At 34.8% G+C, this 26,390-nt stretch overlaps 1 protein-coding gene across 5 annotated transcripts in view, besides 2 other annotated features; it reads left to right on the top strand.

The window, feature by feature from the left end:
• The window catches only part of GRID2 (glutamate ionotropic receptor delta type subunit 2), a 1,506,491-nt gene that overhangs the window by 202,586 nt on the left and 1,277,515 nt on the right, over window positions 1–26,390 (top strand). The gene's annotated exons all lie outside the window — the stretch shown is intronic.
• Window positions 13,198–13,899: an enhancer, noted in NCBI's record as "OCT4-NANOG-H3K27ac hESC enhancer chr4:93440900-93441601 (GRCh37/hg19 assembly coordinates)". NCBI's record gives its function as "activates a minimal SCP1, AML or CMV promoter by ChIP-STARR-seq in primed H9 embryonic stem cells {active_cell/tissue: H9 hESC(primed)}" and the evidence as "EXISTENCE:reporter gene assay evidence [ECO:0000049][PMID:30033119]".
• Window positions 13,900–14,600: an enhancer, noted in NCBI's record as "OCT4-NANOG-H3K27ac hESC enhancer chr4:93441602-93442302 (GRCh37/hg19 assembly coordinates)". NCBI's record gives its function as "activates a minimal SCP1, AML or CMV promoter by ChIP-STARR-seq in naive and primed H9 embryonic stem cells {active_cell/tissue: H9 hESC(naive and primed)}" and the evidence as "EXISTENCE:reporter gene assay evidence [ECO:0000049][PMID:30033119]".

Raw genomic sequence — 26,390 nt, forward strand, 5'->3', positions numbered from 1 at the left:
AGAGTACTGAATCTTGTTGAATGTCTGAGCACATGACAGCTTGAAAATTGTCTTTTTTTTATTAGATTAAGAGAAAATGATTTTCTGGCATGTATTCTCACTGTATCCCTTACCTATATACGATAATACATTTCTATCCTTTTCTTCTTGCTTTGCTGAAGGCAGTTATTAGGAATTGGAGAATACAGAGCATTCAGGTATTCCCAAATAATATACATTCACCTCCTTTGAGACAATAGGTTGATGTGGTATGTGTCTTCCTATTTCTACTCAGGATATAACAGAAACAAAAAGGTAGCAATTGGCGTCATCAGTTTCTGAAAAAAATCTTTCATTTTTTCTAATATGTCTTTTATTTATCTTCTTCATCTTGTTCTCTATTTCTCTGTCAGCCTCCTGTGCTTCTACTGCTAAATGGATTATTTCCTCTAATACTTTAGCATCCCTGCCTCCTGCTCAGGCTATGTCACTTTCCCTCCCTAATTTCACTGCAAATCTCTTTGAAAAAAAGCAGTCTACTTTCACTATCTCTATTCTTCACTGTCAATTCATGTGTTAATTTATTACAATCTGGCTTCCTTCTATCCCCAGCATTTTGATGATTCTATTCTGTCAGAATATTGTGAGGTTAATGTTTTTGATAGCTTTACATGCAGTATTTCACTTCAGTCCCCTTTGAAGAGTGTCATATATTTCCTGCAGGGATATTTCTTTGAAACTACAGAGCATATCACAGCTCCTTCTAAGATGATACACCACTTGGATGTCCTGAAAAAATCTCAAACTCAAGACATTGAAAATGAAAAATTATATTATTTCCCACTGCCTACTCCACTGCTACTAATGTGCTTTCTCGTGTATAATTGTGTGTGTGTGTGTGTGTGTGTGTTTGTGTGTATGAAGGGCATCACTGTTTACTTGGTCCTCAATATAAAACCTTTGGAATCCTCTCCCTTTCACTATTCCTCATAACCCCTATGTAGTTAATTTCTGAGTCCAGTTTTTTTTAATTGAATAAAAATTTAAAAAATAAAAAATCAGTACAAGAGCTACTTCTGTAAAAACTCTCAATATTGTCCTTATTTTTATCTATCTTAGCAGTGAGTACTTAATATCTTTTTTTCAGTTTTTCCTTCTTCCTTTCCTCTTTTACCTGATGCAATAGCTTTATAACAGTGCTTCTTGCCTCAGTTGCTTCCTGGCAAACAACATATAACACTCTTGGAATGTGAGTCTCAGGTTTCCAACTTCATCTCAAGTCATTCTTCAAGGTATTCTAGTATGTGCTAAATTCACACAGCATTAGTGCCATGTTTGTAGCAAGCCCTTTCATATGGTCCATGCTTTGGGCTGTGTAGCCTCTATTATGTAGAATACCCTTCCCTGGCTTTACTGCATTGTAAATTCCTTCACAGCACAGTACAAAAAATCCACTTCTTTCATAAATTATTTCTGTCTTAGGCAGAAATATTCTATTTTATTTATTTTAGTAGCACTTTTTGCAGCATCATATTTTACTGGAAGGTCCTTATGTTTCTGAAACTCAAAATAGACTATTTTTCCTAGGAACAGTATTTATATCTTATTCTTTTTGTAAACACAGTTTTTGAAAAAGTGTCTGGTACATAGTAGGAATTCAGAAACAGTTGTTGTATAAAGTACTTTCATTATAGCACTTATTGCATTCCATTTATTGATTCAATTAACACATATTCATTGAAAACCTTCTACATACCACTCATACTACAACTGTGAGTGGTATGTAGTTCTAGTGCTTAAGGTATGGCAGTAAATACTTGATAGGACATATTCTATCGGTAAATACTGATAGGACATATTCTAGAAGGGGATAAGGGAAGAAATAAGTACTATGAAGAAATCAACGAATGGTATATTTTGAACACTGACAGATCTAAGTGTTATTTTAGGAAGGGAGGTCATGGAGGCCCTTACTGAGGAAGTGGCATTCAGTTGAGACCTGTACAATATAAAGGAGCAAAGATCTAGGAGAAGACACTGAGAAAGAGCAGGCACAAAAGCCGGAAGGGAGACATAAGTATACCATGTTGTAGGAATGGCAAGAAGACTTGGTGTTTGGAGAAGAGGAAAGAAAAGTTCTAGAAGATGGTGCGAGAGAGTTGGATCTTGTAAGTCTGAGTAAGGAGGTTGGATTTCATTCTAAGCAAGATGGGAGAACTTTGGGAGATCTTGAGCAGGGAATGGCAGACAATACTTTTTTTAAAGGATGCCTGAGAGAGGAAAGAGTTTAAGTGGAGAGAACAGTTAGGAGGCTAATAAAATCCCCAGTTGAAATAACTGTGGTTTGTACCAAGGTAGTTGCTGTAGAGGTGTTGAGCAGTAGTTAGATCCAGGATCCATTTTGAAGATGTATTACATAAAAATAACTCAGGAGGCTTAGACGGGAGGCACACTTGAGCCCAGGAGTTTGAGGTTATAGTGAGCTATGATTGCACCACTGCACTATAGCCTGGGCGACAGAGTGAGACCCTGTCTGTTAAAAAACAAACAAACAAACAAACCAAAAAAGAAAGAAAGAACTGATAGATTGGATTTGGAGTTGAACATAAAAGAGGAGTCAAGAATAATTACTGTGTTTATAACATGAGCAATAATATAAATGACGATATTATTAAAAATGGACAAAACTTCAGAAAAAAACATAACCATTAGTTTACTTGTTTGTATCTCCAATAGAATATGAACTCAGTGAAGGCAGGGCTCTTGGCTTATTCTTCTTTGTATCTTTAATACAGTGCTTAGCAGAAGTAGACACTTAATAAAAAGTGATCATCTCTGGATCTTAATCAGCAAACAACTATTGGCACTATTCTCACTTTTTAAAAAATTATCTTTCCTTCATTCACTCAACTGATGTTATTGAGTACCTACTAAATGCACTGAGGCAAAAAGGATATATTAATGAATAAAACAGACATAAATGCTTGTTCTCATGGAACCTATGGGTTTATAATCCAGTGAGATGATTTCTATGATATAAAACTAAATAAAATATAGAGTGTATTAGATTGTGATAAGTGCTTCAGAAAAGTTAAGTAGAAAAAGGACATTGAGGTAGAGTAGTGGCATTGCAAATTAATAGAGTGGTTGAAAAGGGCATTTCTTTGGTTAATACCTTTATGAAATGAGACTTTGAGATAATTAAGTATTTGAGTAAAGAGCATTGTGGCTCAAGGAAACAGCATGCACAGAAGCTCTGAGATAGCAGCATGCTCGGTATATTGTAGGAACACCAAAAGCCCAGTGTTGCCAGATCATACTTTAAAAAATAGAGCAGAAAAATGTGCATTCCAAGGGATAAGGGAAGGCCAAATTATGAAAAGCCATGTTGGCTACTGTGAGGATTTTGACTTTTACTCTGAGAAAAATGGGAAGACAACTAGAGTTTTTCAGCAGGCTAATGTCATATTCTGACATATACTTTCACAGAATTCCTCTGGATACTGCGTTAATAAGAGACTGTATTGGGTTGGAAGGGTTGAGGGGACAGAAATAAGCAAAACAACAGCTACAATAATCTGAGAGGGTGGATGCCCAGTCCAAGGTGGTAATAGTGAATGATAGTAACTATGGTTTAACTGTGGATATATCTTGAAGTCAGAATCTATAGAACTTTCTGATAGGTTGATTTGGGGCAAGAGAGAAAAAAAGCATATAAGGTTTTGGATCTGAACCAGTACAATGGATTTGTCATTTACTGAGATGGAGAAATCAATGAGGAAGATGAGGAGCTCGTATTTGAATTTGAACCTATTGAATTTGAGATATCCATTAGACATCTGATTATAGACAGCACAGAGGAGTTTTCCACATAACCCTGAAATACACATTGCAGGCTAAGAAGTGTCCAGGCTAGAGGTATGAATTTAGGAGTAATCAAATTTTAGCTATTTTTCAAGTCGAAAGACTGGGTATAGTCATCAAGGGTTTGATAGAAGCAAACTCTAGGGAAGTTCAAAGTTAAGAAATAGTGGGTTGTGAGGAAAGGAGAGGGGAAGATGGAGAGAGGGTGAGTACAAAGTTACAATTAGATACGAAGAATACACTCTAGTGTTCTATTGCACAGTAGGGTGACTATGGTTAACAATAAGTCATAGTATGTTACGAAATACGTAGGAAAGAGTTTGGATATCCAAACTACAAATAAATGATAAATTCATGAGGTAATGGATACCCGGATTACCCTGAATTGATCATTAGAAAGCATATATACGTATTAAAACATCAAGCCATATCCCATAAATATGTACAATTACAATGTGTCAATTAAAAAAAAAAAAACAGTGGCAATAAGAAGGAATCCAGTAAAGAGTGTGCTTTCTAAAACAAAAACCAGGAGCGTGATGTCTTAGAAGTCAAGTAAATAACATACTTAAATATGGATAAAGTGAGTAAATATGTAGAATACTGAGAGTTTGGCTTACCATAAGATTTATTGTCTGTTTTAGTCCTTCCTGTATTGCTATAAACACATACCTGAGGCTGGGTTATTTACAAAGAAAAATGGTTTAATTTGGCTCATTGTTCTGTAGGCTGTACAGGAAGCATAATGCTGACATATCCTTAGCTTCTAGGCAGGCCTTAGGGAGCTTACAATCATGGCAGAAGGTGAAGAGGGAGCCAACACATCACATGGCAAGAGTGGGAGCAAGAGAGAAGTGGAGGAGGTTCTAAGCCCACTTTAACAACTAGATCACACATAAACTACCAGAGTGAGAACACACTTATCACCAAGGGGATGGCACTAATCCGTTCATGAAGAATCTGCCCCCATGATCCAAATACCTCCCACCAGGTCCACCGCCAACACTGGGAATCACATTTTAACATGAGATTTAGAGGAGACAAACATCCAAATCATATTATCATCCAATCTGGTACACTTCTGAAAATGAAAGGGGTCACTATTAGTTACATCTAAACTATAAATACAAACTGGTACTCTTTCAGGAAACCTGGAATATATAGTCACCAAGTGACATTTCAAGTATGATGAAGACTGATAAATAATCGTTGCATTCAGCACTGTAGAGATCTTGATTACCTTAAGAATTAAAATATTGTTAAAATATTAGGATTAAAAGTCTAGTTGAATCAGTTCAAGAGAGGAAGGAAATTGGAGATAGTAGGAACAAGCAAATCAATGAAAGTTTTGCTATAAAAATTAAGTGGAGCTGAAGGAGGTTGTGGGGAAAAGATGTTTGGTTTTAATTGAAATAAAATACACATAATGTAAAATTTTCTAGTTTAATGATTTTAACTATGTGTGGTAGAGTGACATTAATTGTATTTTTGTGCAGCAATCACTACCATCCCTCTCTAGAGACTTTTTATTTTAATGAACTGAAGCTCTGTACCCATTATATATAATACCTCAGTCTCCCATCCCCTCAACTCCTGACATTCACCATTCTACATCCCATGTCCATGAATTTATCCAAGACAATGACCATTCTATTTTTTTTTTTCTTATGTAAGGTACTGTAGGTACTTTACTCACTGTGGATACCTCATACAAGTGGAATCATGTAGTATTTGTCCTTTGCAATTGGCTTATTTCACTTAGCATAGTATCTTCAAGGTTCATTTATGCTGTAGCATGTTTCAGAATACTCTTGCTTCTAAGGCTGAATAATATTTCATTGTATGTGTTATAACATATTTTACTTACCATTTATCTGTCTATAGACATCTGTGTGGCTTTCACCTTTTGGCCGTTATGAATAATGCTGCTCTAAGCATGGTTGTATAAATATTCATTCATGTGAGTTCATTCAAGTCTCTCCTTTTAATTCTTTTGGATATATACGATTATTTTAAGACAAAAGAAATTCTAAAACATAGTAAGCTTTCTCTATGTCTGTCAGCCAGTAAAGAATCTGGAAAAGAGATGAATTATTTGTCACTATGTCCAGCAAATAGCTCCAGATATCATTTAGGAAGGAAAATTACAAACTTAAATGACAATGAGCCTTTATAAATGCTTTAACTAAATTAATATTTTGGGGTCCTAGGTAGGTAGAGGTATACACTATGATTAATAATAAAGCATATTTATTGTCTATTCAAAGTTCTGTTTCATTGCTTGGTGCCTACACCTTAGTTCTGTGTGTTTTCAGAATCTACCTTAATAGATATTTTAGCTTATATCTCAACTGGCAAATCATATCCTGTTAGAAGTAAGAATGGGATAGTTTTATTTGTATAACCACTAAAGATTGACCCTGAGAACGTAATTATATAGTTATTCTTTTTACTCTGCCTCTTTTTTAGTTGGCTGTAATATTTTTGAAAAAGTATCATTTTAATAGATGTGTATTGTGGTTGAGTCTTAAAGTTTTAACTTACTTTGAATTGAGTGAGACATTGAGTGAACACACATTTGTGAATATATCATAAAACATAAGTACAAGATTAACATATAGAATGGCTCCTAGAGAATACTTTAGCAAATAGTGTAAACAGCACATTTGCAAGATTTTTATAGCAATGACAACCTTCCTAAACTGGTGTGTACTGTATTCGTGTATATGGATTTGTATCATTGTTAATTGCTGTGATCTTTGTCAATAAAAGCTGACTCTTTCTTAATTAACCTATTGCCCCTATCTTACCAATAGCATCAGTTAGACATTACAACATTATTATTCAATACAGTGGAACACATTTTGTCACAGGATTCTGGCACCTTGAAATTGATCAGTACAAGCAGGTTTACTAGAGAATGAAAAATTTTGGCCAAGCTTCTGTTTCTATCACACACCATGTTCTGCTTAATTCTGGGAACTCTATGCACATTGACAGGAGAAAGTTTGAGTTCCTGGAGTATTGCACGTTCTTGTTTCAAAGGTTTCAAAGTCTTTGCACACAGGGCCACCTTTACTCAAAAATAATTCCTCCTCTTTGCCTCTATTTCAATGGTGAATTTCACAAAGAAGTATTTTTTTGACTGTATCCTAAGTTAGCTCCCTCTTATACAATATCATAGCACAATGTAGCACTCTTTCCTAGTACTTATTATCATTGTAACTTTACATTTTTTGTATGGTGATTTCACTAACCTCTGCTTCACCTACAAAACTGTCAGCACCATATGGGTAGAGATCCTGCCTGCTTTCACTCAATGCTGCGTCCCTCTTCCTTGCATAGTGCTGGATACTGTAGTCTGTACTCAGAAATATTTATTGAATGAGTTGAAGGGTAAATAAATGAATGAATGATTGATAAAGATCTATAAAGGAAAACTATTTTGAAATATATTTTATGTGAGTTTAATGTACTGTGTAGACCTCTAATTAGAAAGCATAGCATAGAACTTGGTTACCAGTTTCTTCAGGATTTTGAAGACGAATTGAACAATAAAAAGTTAAGAGCTGATATCAAGGACCTAAGCTGTATTTTCATTTCATCACCTTGAATTGAAACTTTGGAACTGTGGGACATGGAAGGACCAACAATGGGCAGGCATTTCTCAGGGGAAGACTATAAATAAAAAACATGAAAAGGGTTTGTTGTTTCTTTACTAAACTGCTTATATGAGCCAACTGATGAGTTCTGTTTTACCCATAACAGCCTTAATTTCACATAGACAGCATTATATTATTGATCCACATATTTTATTGTATTCTGAATCTGTCATGTTCAACCCTTATGTATAACTGTAATTTGATAGTACAGCTTATTTTATAAATCACTTTATAATCACTTTGACAGCACAAGTTACTTTATAATCCCAATAAACTTGAGATATATGAAAGTTTATTGAATTTATTATTGATAGTGTGAATAAGAAATCATTTAGCACTTCTATGACTCAGGTACTGATTTAGGTAATTTACATACATTTTTAGTTTTTAAGATATTTTACATTTCATTTTCAACTAAATGAAAAGAAAGTCTGCTATTTCCATAGGCTGTGAAAATCTAATGTTACTATACTCAGTCAAGTTTAAATAGATATACTGTTACTACCACTGCTAGCTGATGTGTCCTCACTGACTTCACAAGTTTTCACAATGAAGAATGATCATATAAAATCTTAGATCTTTCTATGAAGAATTACACTTCTATAGCAATTGGTATCCATATAGACTATGTGACAAAAAGGACAGAAGTGGCCACTGGTCATTTCCACATAATACACATGTTAAAACTGTACTTTGCTCTATGGCTGCTGCTGCTGCTATTTGTAAAACTCAGCTCTGCTTGAATCCCTGCCTCATAGTCACAAAGCCTGCCAGACTCCTTTGATCACAAAGTTACCCCATGCCTGCAGCCATGCTCTAAGTTGGTCTGTCTGTTTCTCTTCTTTCTAAGCAGTGATATTAGAGGTTGTGGCTCAGTATGTGTATAAAGTATTTCTTCTTCTTACCTTTTTGCAATTGCCCTATATCAGGTCTCCATCCAGCAGCGGATTGGATTAGTGATTCTCCACAATTGCCCTCAACTATGCAGAAATACCAAGCTGAGGGAAGTGCAGTTTCTTCTTGACATAGTCGATACATATAATGTTGTTATATTTTTATATTGACGTGATGACTTAGTATAAATTATACTTCATTTGTAGTTTTTAATTTCATTTCTGATTCCACTATGAGAATGAGGAAAAATTGCTAAGCTATATTAAAATTCTGTTGTTCACCATTTTTTATTTCTGTTCCTACATAGAATTCACCATTGAAATCCAATTAACACAAGTCTTTAATAAACTGTGATCACTGTAGTGCCCGTCACCTTGTTTCTTAAAACTAATCTTCTAATTAAACTATCAACTAAAATAGACAACATAAAAGACAATAAATTATTTCCATTGAATTATAAAAGATTATATTGAATAACTATATGTTTTTCCTCTGGGATCTATTTTTTCACTTGTTAATTTATTACAAAGAGGTTGGATTTCAGCTCAGAAGAATCTCATTTCCTGGCAATTATAATAAGAGAGTATTCCAACCAATCAAGAAGTCCAGTGATTTTATTAATAATGGGTTTATCCTATGTGACTAGTTCAGAGGCCATCAGATAACTTTCGAAAGTTTTATATTTGTTCTGGATAAAATCTACCTTGGGTATTGTAGAAGTATATTCACACAAATGGTACAGCTGCTACAATCTTGTTATTTATGTGATATTTATTGAGTACCTACTAACGGTTGAGCTTTGTTTTAAATAATTGGATACATTCTGTGATTAACAGAGAAAAAAAGAATATTGTTCTTTTGTTTGTCGATGTTACCTACATTTTGTGACTTTCTACGAAGGCAAATTATTCTGACACTAGTTTCTCACTTCATTTGTCAGAATGATTAACATTTTTACATAGAAAGTAGATTTTTTTAAAAAATTGATAGTCAGGCTCATATGGAGAGTCCTGCAGACCCCAAACCACTCAATGTTGCCTTCCTTAAACCATGTTACTTTATGTTTTTGCTAGAAAATTATCGTTCTGTCAGATACATGTAAAAGAAAAGTCACACAAGGCTTGTAGTTGGGATCTTTCTGTTCTTTATAACTCAAATATTTTGTTTGAAAATTATGTGGAGGAATGCTTAACGTATGCTGCAGAGAATCAACTCAACTAGCCCTAAAGGGAAAGACTGGCTAGTACATTTTGCTTTGTTAAACTTTATTTGATGGTAAGATGCAGTTTTGCTATAACTTTTGACCTTTTGGTTTATAATGTCATTCATGTTGTATATATCCTTTATTCTATAACAATTCTTTGAATTCTAGGAGTAACTTTGTAGGCAATCAAATACTTAAAATAACCAACAACTTCTTTACTATAACATCATTAAAATAAACCACATTTAATAGTAGGCAATCAATGATGTTCAGCTTTGACCCAGAGTTGACCCATCTTCTCTAGTAATAGCAACCCTATCGTTTCAAATTACAATCAGTTCACAAAATCATTTTAATGATATCAGATTGGAAGAAAGCCCTGTGTGGTTTGACAGCTGTGCTCTATATTTAAGCTCAGATAAGGCTCACTTTAAAGCAGCATGTCTTTGTAGTCATGTAGCTCCTTAATGCTGTGACACGTCTGTGATTCTGTGCATCAATCATGGCGGCAGAAAACCATAACCTTCCCTAAGAGGAGGTGCCAGGCAAACAGGCAACGAGATGAGTGTTGCCATGTTTCGGTTACTGTGCAGGCTTCCTGCAGTGTAAATTCCCAATGTCCCTTCTTAGCTCCCACTGGCTCTCGACACTCTCATCTTCTTTATACCCTTTCCAGGAATACAGTCTGCTCTTCTTCGTTAGGTTGTGATGGTAGGTAGTAGATTCTTTGCCTAATTACTTTCTTTCTATGGATTTTATTATTTATAAAAATATAATCATAGCTCTGTTTTCATTTTAAGGATGTGACTAATAAGCACCATTAACAAGGTGGTAAGAAATCATACAGAGAGATAAAAAGAGAAACTTATAAACATATCTGGGATAGTTACATATTTTGAAGACTTTTTTCACTTCTTATAGTATTGCTCTTTGCTTGTATAATAATGACCAATTTGCCACGTACTGGATGCCCTCGTAGGCTTACCCAGCTTTTCAATCATAAAGTCAGAATTCAAACCCTACTCATAATAAGATCGTTCAGCAAGACGGCTCCTACTCTTTGTAGCAAATAGTCCCAAAGGTAAATTTAAAGTGAAACAACAGGAAAGAAATTAGTTCCTCCCATTTTTTTAGTCATTTGTTCATTTGCTTTATTTATTCAAACACTCCTTCATTTTTCACTCATGATAGAATATTTCATAATGTTATCTTTCATCATATTTATTGAGAGCTGGTAAACAAAAATGAAAGTGTTCATACCTTTGAGGATATAATGATACTTTGTAAGCAAAAGTCTTGGAAAGCTTCTCATATTTTAGATATTATTCTGTTAATTTGTGTGTGTGAATGTGTATGTTGTTAAAAAATATTAAATATCTTTCAACTATATTGGCCTCATATCTTCTGTTTCCTTTTAACGTATATGAACAAGGTCAGTCATAAATAGTTGAACCAAAAAATGAGTAGTACTTGGGTTTAATTCAGAAGACTGTGCCTTCAGTCAGCTACATGAGGTAGTAGTTTTTACCATAACATTTTCCAGAGTTAAAATAGTCAATTTTTAAAAATTTCTGGAAGTATATGAAAAGTACTTTTAAGGAAATGTTCCAAATATTAATACATCTCACTTGGTTTTCCAGTATTGAGTGCCACTATGTGGAGACCCACATTTTGTGTCCATATCTATAAATCACTTTATCAGCTTTTGAGGTCTATCAAAGATGAACAATATTTTCAGATAGGCAAAAACAAACAAACAAACAAAAAACCAAAAAAACCCACTGTATTGTAATGCAATAACAAGATTTTATAAGTAACTTCTAGAGGTAAAGTGTTTTCTCATCAAATGAAGAAATGAACTTCTAAACTTATATCAAGTAGCTGAACAATAACTACTTTTCCCCACCCATACCCCATTTCTACAATCTTATAATGAGTGTGTCTGTGCCTCCCATCTTCTCTCTCTTTCTCTCTCCCTTTTCTTCTCCTACTCTTCATCCCCCTTTTTTTTTCTTTCTCTGTTATTTTTTTCAGAGCAGATTTAGGCTCTTCAGTGGATTCTTTGCCTGATAATTCTCCAAATTAGGAGTTAAGGTAAAGGTTAGCTCAACAGGCTTATTGCTACTATAAATTAAATCCTGGCCCTGCCAAGATACAAAAGCTCAGAATATACCTGCACCAAGATCCAATTTGCTTTTCACAGATTTAAACCTTACAAGGAAAAGCCTTAAGTTAGTGCATTTGGTTGAGCACTGAAGCTGGTTACTGGTGAAAGTTAAAAGAAGTTTAAAAATGAGAAAGACAAATACTGCATCATTCCACTTATATGAGGTATCCAAAGTAGTAAAATATGTAGAGAGAGACAGTCAAATGGTGGATGCCAGAGGATTGTGGGAGGAGGAAATGGAGGATTATTTAATGGGTATAGAGTTTCAGTTTTGCAAGATAGAAAAGTTCTGGAAATTTTTTTTTCACAACAATGGGAATACACTTGAAACTATTGAACTGTACATTTAAAAGTAGTTAAAGTGTAATTTACCACAGTTAAAAATAAAGTAAAATAAATAAATACATAAAAGGTATTGACCTTTAAGAAATAGTTTATTCCTTTTAAATGCAGTCATTTACTAGAATATTACATGGAATCTCTTCAATTATCTTCCTTTTTCTGAAAATAGACAAGCTGTACCATTCTTTGAAGCAAAGTATTATAAACTATCTTGCCACATAGTTTATCACAAGTGATCAGTTTTGAAATAAATAGCCTATTGGGATAAAACATCACATTTACTTTAATCCATATGAAATGGTTGATACTGGATAATTTTCTGACACAGAGTTTTGACCAATGTAAGAAAAACAGAATTCCAGAACCCCAAATTGAAGACAAACTATGATAGTATGTCATAGCTGGGGTGAGGAATAAGGGAAATAAATATGCATATTGAAATACATGTATCAAATTTAACCTTTATTTAGCTTGGTTTAGTTATAATTTTAATTATTTATTCAAATAATACTCAATGGCAGCATAGGATGGCATGAATTTTTAAAAAATTATCAAGCCCAAACCTGAGAAGCATTTGCCTAAAAGTCACTAAAGAAAAAAGTCATTTAATTCATAATTTTGCTAAGGGAGGAATTCTACCCATAAGTTATTGTGAAGAACAAATGAGATATGCCATTAGTAATTAGATATTTACCTGCTATAATATCTAAAAATTACCCTACCTAGAAGAAATGTAAAGTTTTCTTTATTTCAAAGTTCTCAGAATCTAAGTACTAAAAAGTAATTCACCTAGAAAACGTAATTTTATGTGCAACTACACAGGCACATAAAGGCCATAGTCCTAATACCATGAATTAGAGCTCTTGTACTGAATCCCTCTGGGTCTTCAGAGAACCATAACTAATAGGATATGCATATATATATCTTATATATGAGATTATATATATATATGTATGTATATATAAGAGCGAGAGAGAGATTGCTTTATTATAGGAAATTGGTTTACATATTTATAAAAAAGAATAAGTCCCAAGATCTCCATTTAGCAAGCTGAGACCCAGGAGAACCAATGGTGTAGTGGTTTCAGTCTGAGTCCAAAGGCCTGAGAATAAGGAGAGCTGATGGTTTAAGTTACAGTTTTAACCTGAGTTTGAATACAGGAGAAAACTGATGTCGAGGCTCAAATAGAGTCTAGGCAGAAAAAGTGAATTCTCTCTTACTCAGTCCTTTGGATAAGGTCCACCCATATTGGGGGGCGGAATTTGCTTTTCTCAGTCTACCGATTCAAATGTTAATCTCATCTAGAAACACCCTCACAGACATTCCCAGAATAGTGTTTAACCAAGTATCTAGGCACTCCATGACCCTTTCAGTTTGACACAAAAAAGTAACCTTTACAAGTCCACCCTTTGTCAACTTGGCACCCATATGCAACTCCTTAAGTCATACTTAATCTCCAAATGAAGGAAATAAGAAGTTCATAATTTTTCCTAATATGATACAGCTATCCTGTGTACAGTTGAAAATGTACTAAACCCTTCCCCAGAAGAGGAAGTAGAGTTCTTGATTAATGTTTACTCTTCTTCAGGATAATGTAATATTAATAATACTTAAATATTAGAATATGAAGTCAACATACCTTATGTTACATGATGAGGAAATAAGAGAAGGAAGAAAACAAAGATATTTTCTATACACATGAACATATTGATAAAAAAAAACAAGGAATATGTATGACAATGACAGTCCTCATTTTTGTAACTGTTCACATGGGCATAGCTGGTGTTTATAACTACCTTCTTCCACTGCCAATTTTGTATTCTCTTTGCCTTCAGCAAGCATCTCTGCTGATTGTGTTTCTTTACCAGGTGGAGTGACCTAAGCCCTGCCTGGATGAGGTTGCTCTAGTTTTCCATTGATCTTAATCACAGGGAATGGTATGCTAATAGGCGCCCTAAAGATCTCCTACAGATGCACTCTTTCTTACCTCCATTGGGGAGTGCTATTCCAATTCCCCCTTGGTAGTCAGGATCAATCATGCTAAGCTGGAACAGTGACTCTTTTCCCTGATGGCTAATTCAGATGCGTGAGGAGCTCAAAGTGGCCAGGTGGCAGTCTTAACTTCCAGTTCAATGGCATCATTGTGTCTCAATCAACATAGAAGCATTCCTCCCTTTGTAACTAAGATCTCTAGGCCAGCAGAGGATAAGGTCATAGGGACAGGAAACAGAAACTTAGAAATTTGGATTGTGGATCACTAGAGGAAATAGTGAATGATGCCACTTCCATTTTGCCCTGAGCTGAGAAAAAAAGGAAACATAACAGTTATTGAGTTATGAGCCATTATAACAATTACCGTTCATAAGTAATAACAATTTCACTGTTTTCAGAACATTATATAATATTTTTAGAACAAAAACTACCTCAATAAATAAATTTATTGAGTTTAATATTTAAAATAAGAAATTCCAGTTATCACAAAAGTGATCTCCCTAACCAGTAGTAATCAGCATATCATTTGCAAAGAATTCAGGTGCAAATATAAACATTTAAAAAAATTCCTTAATACTACACTTCTTATTACTATTGAAATTTCACAGTTGTCTTAGAAGTAAATAATTCTTGACACATGATTTATCTATGTTATGCAAGTTTTATTATATAACAAACAAGTATAAAAACTAAAAATCATAAAAATATAAAAGAAAGTCATATTTCAGATTTGCTACATTTTAATAGTATCGACAATTTATTTAAAAGATTTGCTAAAATAAATGAGTTATTAAATGCTCAGGATTCACTATTTACTGAGCATTACTAAACATTTACTAAACATTTAATTCACTGAGCTATTATTGTCCTTATCTCTGTTGCATAGAATTCCTTTATTCACAGAGAATCATTTATTGAATACATTCTATTTGACAAATATTATATAAATTGGCAAGAAATCCAAATTTAGGCAAATTTTTCCTGGAGGAAATGGTGCCTGAGCTTATCTTAAATGATAAACCAGCATGATAAGAGTGACGAATCATGTTGGTTAATAAAATTTCTTGCAGAGGGGGCATTATAAGAAAAGACATGTGAGAATCAGCATGGAATAGTTGTGTGAGTGTATATGGCCGGCAGTACAAATGGCTTAGTCTCCTGGAAAGATAAGAATTGAGAGAGCAGAGGCATATAATAGATGGTGCAGCATTTTGTAAAATATATTTTTGAGTTAATTCATTTAATAATACATGTAGTCATTTATTATTATGTACCCAGCACTCTTCTAAGTGCTTGGGAAATAGTAAACAACAAATCAAGATTCCATCCCTCGTGGAGCCTATATTGTACAACATTAGAAACTAACTAGTGCTTTTGGGGGAAATTGAATAAGATAAAGATAATCCACTGTGGGGCAGATAGAGTAGGGGCTGGTGGCAGTATTAAGGAGGAGCATAGGAGTAGAGATAATAGAGAAGGTGATATATGAGCGAATTCCTGAAGAAGATGAGGGAGATAGCCAGGCAGATATTTGGGAGAAGAGCATTCCAGACACAGGAAAGAGATAGAACACATATTCTAAGGTTAAATTGTGCCTTGCAATGTCAGGCTGAAGGAACAATAAGGAGGCAGGGGTCACTCCATTATAGTAAACAGGGAAAAAAAATAACAGGAAAGCAGTACAAAAGATGAACAGAGAGCAAGACGATGCAGGGCGTTATAAGCCATTGTGACAACTTACACATTTACTCTGAGTCAAACAGAAAATCACTGGAGGGTTTTTCAGCAGAGGAAGCAGGATCTGAGATCTGACTTAGGCTTTAAAACTGTCATTCCAGCTGCTGAGATGTGACTAAATTTCACAAAGTGCAAAGGTGGAAGTAGGAACCCTCCTAATGAAGCTATTGACTTAATCATCTCTAGCTGATAGTTGCTCCAGCAACGCTGCTAGTAGTGGAAGTGGTGAGTAGTCAAGTTATTTATATGACTGTTAGGTAGAGCCTGAAGGATTTTCTCATGGATTGGATGTAGGATCAGAGCAAGAGCAGTAGTCAAAGATAACTTCAAGTTTTGGGGTTGGGAAAATTGAGAGGAAGGAATGCTTCTCAAATGAGATTGGCAAGGCAATGACAGGACAGGTTTGCTGAGAAATGTGAGGAGTTCATTATTGGACATAGAAAGTTGATGATGTTTACTAAAAAATCAAATAGAGACAAAAAACGAGTAATTAGATATTCAGAAATTTGCATGGCCCCTTAAGCAGTGGAAAGCCTCTGCAAGGTTTTAAGTTTGGAGGAATTATAGCCAATTGTATGCTGTAGTTTAGTGCTCTCTGGTGATAAATAAAGGAGATAGTTCTGAAAGAATAAAAGACTGAGCTAAGGGAGAACAGTTAATAGTTTTGTATAGCAAGATAATTTCAACAAATAAACACTGAGTGGTGGCAAAGATGGGTAAGAATAGGATGACTTGAGAAATACTTTACAAGTAAAAATCATCATGGCCATGATTGTGAGTCCAAGAGAGAGGGAAAAGTAAAATAGTTTTCTAAATTGATTGACTTGTTAAATGTAAATGTCATTATCTGAAATCAAGAGTGCAGATAAAAAGCATATTTAGGTGGAAGATATTTTTGACTTGTTTCAATTTCAGCTCATATGGAATATTCAGATGGAGGCAACCAGTAGACAGTTGTAAATATTAGAGTAAAATTCTGGGGACAGGTCCAAGCAGAGCATATAAGTTAAGGCAAAAATTAGATTAATTTTAAAGTTGAAACCATGAGATCAGATGTGAGCATGTTTGAGAGTAAAACATGGAATATTCCCAAGATATCCAAATGAATGCAACCACTTAAAATTTAGGTAAAGGAAGAGAGACATGTGAAAGAAATTATAGACTGGTTATAGCAAGGAAAGTCATGAGTCACTGGTAAAGGAATAAAAATTTCAAAAATAATATGATCCACTATGTTCTTTGCACACAGTCACTCTGTAAGATAAAGACTGTAAAAGTATGCTAGAAATGAGATCTTGGTGATAGTTGTGATAGCAGGTTCAGCAGAGGGACGCAGGTGGAAGTAGAAGGACACAGAAGTGGGCTGTGTACAGAGTCAGGTGACAACAGGGGCTCAGAGAGTGGGAGTGAAAACAGGGCCTACACTTCCAAGAGGTTCTAACAAGAAGGGAAGGGATAAGGTGGAACTGTAGCTTTGGTTGTGGGCAAAGAGAGAATTACATTATCCTCTAAGAGTATCATGTCTCCCTCATTACTGGGAGGAAGGAATATAGGAAACAGGACAATTGGAGCAAAGTCCCATAGAAGGTAAGATGTGCTTAAAGGGGAATTTTACTTTACTGTTAACAGCATAGATGTTGATGAGGAAGAACAATCCTTCAGATAAATGTATAGGGGTTAAGAGGAAGAAAGTCAAGGAAAACTATGTTTTTTGACCACGAACTTTTTGATGGAGCCCTAAGAGTTGTCTTTATTGGTAAACAAGGGTTGAGTACAAACTTGAAATACTTGCAGAAGAAAATAGAAGTAAATCCTAGACTTAGGGAGTCAAAAGGATTAATGGGTATATTAATTTCCTTTTGCTACTGCAAAATTTAACATAAATGTAATGACTTTAACAAACACTGCTTTATTACTTTACAGGTCTATAGGTCAGAAGTCTAACATGGGTATCAGTAGCTGAAATTAAGGTGTCAGCAGGCCTATATATCTTTCTGCTCTAGGATTTCCTTGTCTTTTTTTTTTTTTTTTTTTTTTTGTTTACCATCTAGAGGCTGTCTTTTTTCCTTGGTTATGACTTCTCATATACTCACTGTCACCAATGGTCAGTTGAGCCTTCCTCACACCACAATGCACTGACCATGACTCTTTTGTCTCTCTCTTCCACATTGAAAGGATCCTGGTAATTACATTGGACCTCCCCGAAAAATCCAGGGTACTTTCCCTATCTTAAAGTCAACTTGTTAACAAACTTAATTCCGTCTACTTTCTTAGTTTCCTGTGCCATGTAACCTAACATATTCACAGTGGGCTGTGTACAGAGTCAGGTGACAACAGGGGCTCAGAGAGTGGGAGTGAAAACCTAATATATTCACATTTTCCAGGAATTAGGAGGTAGATACCTTCTGGAAACTGATATCTTTGGGAAACCAATGTCTTGCCTATGACAATGGCTGATGTTGAGGGTCAAGCTGAATTTAGATACAGTGAATGGAAATTATACGAATTTGTACAGGGACATTTACAGAGCACAATAAAGGAATATAAACCCTTGGTTTTAGCATGGATTCAGGGTTCAAACTTGTGGTTTTCATGGAAGAATAGGAATACAGATGAATAATGTGATAATGAGAGAGTATTTTTTATACTCTCTCAGTATAAAAGAAAACCAAAGTGTCCAGACTCATTTGCAAAAGAAAAGGCTGATCAGTTGCAGAGAGTGGCTGTGAGGTGGGAAATGGAGGAATCAAAGAACTGGTGGAACCAATGAGATGGAAAAATAGCTACTATATATTTAAGAAAGTAAAAGAACCAAAAGAGAATATTCAGAGAATAGGACATTTGAATATAAAAATCTTAGAGTCAGATTGGTACTCGGTGAAAAAAAAACAAAAACAAAAAGAGGACATAAGCGTTAGAATAAGTGGTTAAAGAACAGTGGAAATGATGATCATTGAAGTGGAGGCAGTCAAGCATTTGTTAAGTTATGGTGTCAAATGGACCTTACATACCCTAAAATCACCTAGGGTGATGGCTGACCTTGCAGTAGCAAGACCATGAGACTCATCTGTCCTAAATCACTGAGGGAGAACTGTCAGGAAAGTAGTCAAATATGGAGGTACTCACAGTGGAGGTACAGATGGCATGAGAAAAAAGAAGCAGAGATTTATACTTGAATCTAGAAAAGAAACTATCTGGAAGCAGCTTTAGAAAAACAGAAGAAGCCTCCCTCTACCTCCTGACACTGGAGTCTGTAAGAGGAATGAGAATAAAGAACCATTTCCTAGAGATGAGTGCAGAGGAAATTTTGGGTTGAGCCAGGTTTTATTTAAGGCACAAAAATGATGACACGGCACCATAAGCAGGTGAAGATGCAGAGACATTTGTTTAACCATAGAGGAGCACTTAAATGGCACAGTGGAAAGTTTTGCAAGGGAGAGTAGCATTTGGAGCCAGAGAGAGGAATTGTAGAGCAGTATTCTATGCTGGTGAGAACGCAAGAGAAGTTAAAGGGCTCTAAGTTATTGAACTTTTAAATGACAACAAAGGATAGAAGTGATAAGTTTTCACAAAGAACGCTCTCTATATATTTATACTACCACGGATGAAAACAGAGGTTCTATGGTTTGTAGGAAGCTGATCAAGTTAAGAGTAGATGGTATCATTTATAGATACTACAGCAAGCTCAGGAACAAGTCTCAAATAGATGGGTCATCTCTAAAAAGGAAGAAGGGAAAAAGGGAGGCAAGGAAGTAAAGATGGAAGGATGGAAGGAAAGAAGGAAGGAGTCAAGGAATTAAAAAGAGAGAAATAGAAGAAAATTCATTAGATTTTTTCCCAGTGCTATAATGATAGTAAATTTGTCCTAGAATACTATCAACACAGCCCCTGATATTATCCTTTATTTTTCAGGATGGCATTAAAAACCAAAAATTTTGATAGTTGCATTTTTTGTTTGTTTTGTTTTTGAGATGGAGTTTTGCTATTGTTGCCCAGGCAGGAGTGCAATGGAGCGATCTCGGCTCACTGCAACCTCCACCTCCCAGGTTCAAGGGATTCACCTGCCTCAGTCTCCCAAGTAGCTGGGATTATAGGTGCCCACAACATGCCAGGCTAATTTTTTGTATTTTTAGTAGAGCCAGGGTTTCACCATGTTGGCCAGGCTAGTCTTGAACTCCTGCCCATATGTGATCCACTTACCTCAGCTTCCCAAAGTGCTGGGATTACAGGCATGAGCCACTGCACCCAGCCAATGGTTGCATTTTTAAATATTAAAATGTAAGCCTTAAGTTAGGTCAATTCTGCATTAAAATAAACACCTATCTAATTGGCCACATGCACACACACACACACACACAAACACACGCACAGTCTTCCTGAACCATAAGTCATAGGTTTGACTTATGATTTTTCAATGTTATGATGGAGGAAATGTGAAATATATTCAGTACTCTCCTTGACTTACTATGGGGTTATCCCTGCATAAGTTCATTATAAGTTGAAAATATTGTGTTTGATGAATTTATCATCATGTAGCCCCATTATAAGTCAAGGAGCATCTATATAGATATAAAATGTTTTTATCTTTAGAGATCTCTATTTTTAAATTGGCATTGTTTTGGTTTTGCTAGGTGAGTGTTTGTTAACATCAAGGGATGAGGATACGTTTGACTGAGAAAAAAAAAACTCACAATGTTAGTAAGGTCCTGCTTTGAAGAATGGCATGAAATAGTGGCATAACTGTTGTGTACCTCTTTGTCTAGTTACAGTCTATCACTCCTAATGGAATCTCCATGCATTTAGTACAACAAAAGAGAGAAGTAAGATTTTATAACCTCTTACAATTTGAATAAATGATTCTGATTACATTACTACACTAGAAATGTAAACTGAGCAAGAAAATGATTTTAAAATTGATTTCTTCAGTTTTGGAAAGTGAATTTGAAATTATCAAGGCTACTACTTTATACATATCTGCACCCAGTGTATGTTTTAAAATGATAATGGTCTGCCATTTAATCTGTGTTATATATATGTAACTCAAAAGGGTTTGGACATACTCAAAAATATCTTTTAGCTCTATGTGGGAAGAAGTAGCAGGAAAAGGGAGATACAGTATTACAAATTATAATGGGAGATATAGTCATCTGAGATACTAAAATAGCTGAAGCATTAAATGAATATTTCCAAATACATTTACAACAGAGAACATTTATGACTATCTATTCTATATCAGAATCACTATGGCAAAGGTAATAAGACAGAAAAAATTCAAGTGTGAATTTTTCTCACTTAGTGTGTTAGTAGCATAAGACAAACCTCCAAAAATGTATAAGTTAAAGTGCAATTCCTTTAACATTTCATGAGGGATTGAAAATGAGAGTGTAACATTTGTTTATAAAGCCAACCTGCAACCTCAAACTTTACTAAATAATATTATTCAGAAAACATTTTTCCATTTTATGTGAACATAGCATTATTGCTTCCTAACAACATAGTTATTGATCACAATAATTCATTACAGGGTCCAGGTTACAGTGCTCCATTCTTATTACTTTGCTTTTATTTTACTGTAAATAGTGACAGTAATAATGCTAAAGATAAAAACAATGATATTTTTGACACATAATTTGAATCACTGAATTTTACAGCTTGCAAAATATGGAGAAATTGGTTGAATTGGCCTTTTCTGGTAAGTTAGTATGAGAAGTAAAACTTGAGATAGCATCATCAAAATTACTCTTCTTAAAACACAGCTTAGGTGGTTCATGATTTCTTTTAAACAATAAAGAAACTGATCAGTTAACTGGAAAAGATAACAAAATAAGTGTATGTACAAGCAGGCTTGGCCTCACAAATTAACCATTCTTACTTGGGTTATGAATATATATATATATATATTTTGAGTATATATATATATGTATTCAAAGATAATTACTATACATATATAGTAATTATGTAATTTAGTTGTATCATCTTAAGAATCATTGTTTGAAGATTGATCCTTGTATTCTTTGTTTCAGTATTTAAAACTTTCCTTTTCCAAATAAGAACAATAATGTTACAAAATAGAATGTGACATTGTCAATAACTTTCAAAATTATTAGGACATAAAATTAATATCCGTTCATTTAGATGGGATTTATTTTTTGTTCATATAAGCATTTAGAACATATGCTATGTTTAGCAGCATTCTCAGGGTATACTGGGGAAGAAATGTTTGACTGTAATCTTGAGAAAGTAATGAGCTCTTTAAGCAGGCAGAGCATACATACATGCGGGGAAAGCCAGCTGAAGAAGTGTGTGGTAAAATTATCTAACTCAGCTCTCAGACTGTAAATGAAGGAAGGGGTCGAACATACTTTTGGCAGCCTCTGAACATGCTCCACTAAAGTCGTTTCTTTGTTCTAAATCCAAGAACATCCTGTAAAAAAAAAAAAAAAAAAAAAGTCTTGCAGAAAGGAAGGATACTTCATACACGGGAAAAATATGAGCAAAGAAGTAGGAATAAGCAAAATGTGTGTGGGACTGGTAAAAAGTCTTTTCATATACAGCAGAGTAATCTCCTTAGAACATCTAAGTGAATCTTCAATTTAGGCAATGGAAGATAGGAAACTGCAAAAAGATAAAAACTCCACAGTAGATGAATTCTCTTGGGACGTGAGTCAAAAGAATGAATGCCAGAAACCAACGCTGAACTTCGGTCGGGGATGGGAGGGCTATTTAGAGTGCAGGTAAGGAAAACAAACATAATGTGCTTTACAGGACTAATCATAATTCATCATTATCATGTACTTATCATATATAGAAAGGACTGCCCTAGGCATTGAAGTTTTGGCAATAACCAGATTGCCCTTGTTTTTGAAGCGCTTACAATGTAGTGAGAGAGAGAGAGAGAGAATGACAAACGTGTATACAAATCGTTCAGCCACGTAATAGGTATTATACAATCACAGAGTCTTCCTAAAGGCTGTTTAAGGGAACAAATACACAGATCAAAATGCTTTTTTCTTCTGGGACAATGAGAGAAGACCTCATTGAATAGCTGAATTTGAATTCAGTCTGAAAGGATGAATACTGATTTCAAGAGCAGAAACAGAGGAGATAGGGATTCCAGGCCTAGGAATTATCAGGTACAAAGACATGTGAAAACATACTGCAAGTTCAAGATTACCAAACAGCTAAATGGAACTGCAGCCCAGTAAGCTTACTGGGGAATGGTAGAACATGAAGTTGGCCCACTAAGCAGGGATTGGGTTGTGAAAGGCCTGGCTTGGATTTTACCCTGAGAAGATAATGAGGTGTTAAAGGATTTAAGCGTTTTAAACTGTCAAATTATGTTATCAGATTCTGCACTTAGGACCATCTCTTCAATAGTTGTGTCAGGGATGAATTGCAAGTAAAAGCTAGAGTTATAGAATCTGATATGATGGCCATTGACATGAAATGCTGAGTATATTTTTCTTAAATTGCTGGCAGTAGAGAAGCGGAGAATAGTAAAAAGCTTTAGAGATAGACAAATCCCGGCTACAATTACATATGGGTGAGAAGAGGAAGAATTGTAGACAACATGATATACTTTGAGTTGGCAACTGTATGGAGTATATGTATAGAGTGTGAAGAAAGAGTAAGTAAGAAAGAGAAGGATAAGAAGGGTTTTTTTTTTTTGAATAAATAAGAAGATCAAGCATTTATCCTAACTTTACTCTAGGTACTGATTTTATGCAGGGAAAGTTCCTTGTTTAGAGATGATATCCAGCAAATGCAGAAGGATGATAGAATTAGAAAATCACCATTTTCAAACTATCATAAAATAATAGATCTAGGTGATAGTCATTGATGAATACGGTAATCACATGGATATTGACAGAGAATTTCAAAAGGCAGGTATCAGGCTGATATTATCTGAATGTGTAAATAAGTCTCAGCATTACTAAAAGTAATGCCTTGTTGTGTGATGCAATAGGAAAAGGACAGTGCCTCATACGAACTATTCTTCTATTAAAAATCACCCTAACGTTTTCAAGACTTTGGATCTAATTACCAACTTATGGAAAATAGTGAGAATAGTGGAAAAAGTCAACCACTACCACAAAAAAGTGAGTGACTAGTACAGAAAAAAAAAAAAAAAAAGAGAGACTTCCGAGACACGAGAATCAAATAAATTTTGTAGAATTTGTCTGGGTCCTTATTTGTCCAAGTTAACTTTAAAAAGAGGTCCTTAAATGGCTGGGCATGGTGGCTTATTCCTGTAATCCCAGTACATTGGGAGGCCAAGGCGGGCAGATCACGAAGTCAGGAGCTTGAGATCAGACTGACCAACATAGTGAAACCCCCTCTACTAAAAAAAAAAAAAAAAAAAAAATTAGCTGGGCGTGGTGGCGTGTGCCTATAATCCCAACTACTCAGGAGGCTGAGGCAGAAGAATCACTTGAACCTGGGAGGTGGAGGTTTCAGTGAGCTGAGATCATGCCACTGCACTCCAAGCTGAGTGACAGAGTGAGACTCCATCTTGGCGGGGGGGGAGAAAGAGGTCTTTAAAACAATTCCCAAATTTGAATATAAATTTGGCCTTAGATATTTTTAAGATTTATTGTTAATTTTATTGTGAATGTTACCTAAAAAGTCCTTATTATTTACAGGCATATACTGATGTATTTACAAGTGAAAAATCACAATGCCTTGGATTTTATTTAAAATCAAACAAAAATAAAATAAAAAAACTTTGTGGGGGGATAGATAAACTGAGATTGGAAATATTTGCTAATCACTGGAGCTTAGTTTTCGGCATAGATAGATGTTGGATCAATGAGTGTTTCTTGTAGTAGTCTCTCTTTTAATGTTTGAAAATATGCATAATTAGGAGGAGAAAATAGTTTAATTTTAAGCAGATTCATTTTAGATGACCACGAGATATTCAGGTATAGTTTTTCAGTAGAACATAATGTAAAAACACAGTCTAGATTAATTACAAATGAAGTATGACTAGAAATGTATAAAAAGAGTAGAAGATGAGAATGAAACCAACAAACAAAACATGGAGACAACAACATTTAGTGGGAAGGCAGAGGAAATAAAGTTATTGGAAGGTACCAAAAAGGATCAGAGAGATGGGAAGAAAGCTAAGATGATGTTACAAAAAAATGGAGAGTCACTAAAATGACCCATGTGTACACAGAATAAGTGTTGAAATACTAACTACATTTTGAATAGGTCATCACTGGTGATCATATTTAAAGAAATTTTAGAGGAATGATCATGGAGAGAACAGAGGAGATGGAAAACTAGATAGAAATGAATTTATGAGAGGACTAGAAAATGAGACATTTAAGAGGGTTTTTCCTGTTATTAAAAACCATAGCTATGACAGATTTTCCTTTTTGATAATTCTCAGTTTTTTTTCTTCATTTTTAAACTTATCTTTCAGTAGAGAAATAAAATAGATGTCAGAAATGTAATGGGAGATTAATGAGAGCATGGTCAAATTTACCAAAAAACTAATTCAACTTATGTTTAGAGCAGCTCATTAACGCAGGCCCTACTAGCAAATATCTTTCCAAGATATGCCAATGTGTGTGTAGGAACACAGGATTTTATAAAAGTATAAAAGATAAGATGTTATCTCTTTCTACTTAACTTCCAACACATTTTCCCTCAAATAGAGTTGTGGTTGAGTGGCCACTAGCATTTTTGGAATCCCACTAAAACAACTTTGAATTGGGAATGAATTCAGTTTCTGTTGAGTGGGATATGTTCATGTAGTTCAGTTAGAGTTTAAATTATTCTGACTAGTCAGGTGTATGAATGGTTTACAGGAATACTCCTACCTACTGTGAAAACTCATTGTGACAGGGAAGTGCAGGATCACAGTTTGTGTTGTAATATACAATTGTCCAATGATACCTGGCCCTACATGTATGCAAGAAGTTGAGGAAAAAGCAAAGTTTGAAATATACTGAGCTGTAAAAATTAAAAGAAAAGGATTTGGTTATCATCAATACCTAGGCTAAACAGAATTTCTCCTTGTCGGGGATTTACTAAGCAACACAACAACACAACATATATAATCATAAATGTACCGGATATGTTCCCCTTTTTTGATGATAATCATGTGAAAGTGTAATTAATCAGAGTCCCTTTTACAGCACAAGTCTTCAGTATTCAATTATGTTTATAATTGCCCGTGTGTAGAATAATTTTAAAAGAAGTTTTTCCAAATTTGACAATAGATGGCCTCTAACCAATAACGTTGTCATACGAAGAAATGAGTTTAGAGTATGTGGTCAAAAAAGGAATGGAAAAGGTATTTATCAAGCTAAGTCATGTAAATGTAATATGTTTATTTTCTACATTTCATGATGTCTAGGGTATTTTGCCATTTTTTAAATTTGTACTTCTAGACTTACAGTGTGGCTCACGCCTGTAATCTCAACATTTTGGGAGGCCGAGGCAGGAAGATTGCTTGAGCCCAGGAGTTCAAGACCAGTCCTGGCAACATAGCAAGGCCCTATTTATACAAAACAGAAAATAAAATAAAATTAGGTAGGTG

This window comes from Homo sapiens, chromosome 4 (genome assembly GCF_000001405.40).
Source record: "Homo sapiens chromosome 4, GRCh38.p14 Primary Assembly".
NCBI lineage: Eukaryota > Metazoa > Chordata > Mammalia > Primates > Hominidae > Homo > Homo sapiens.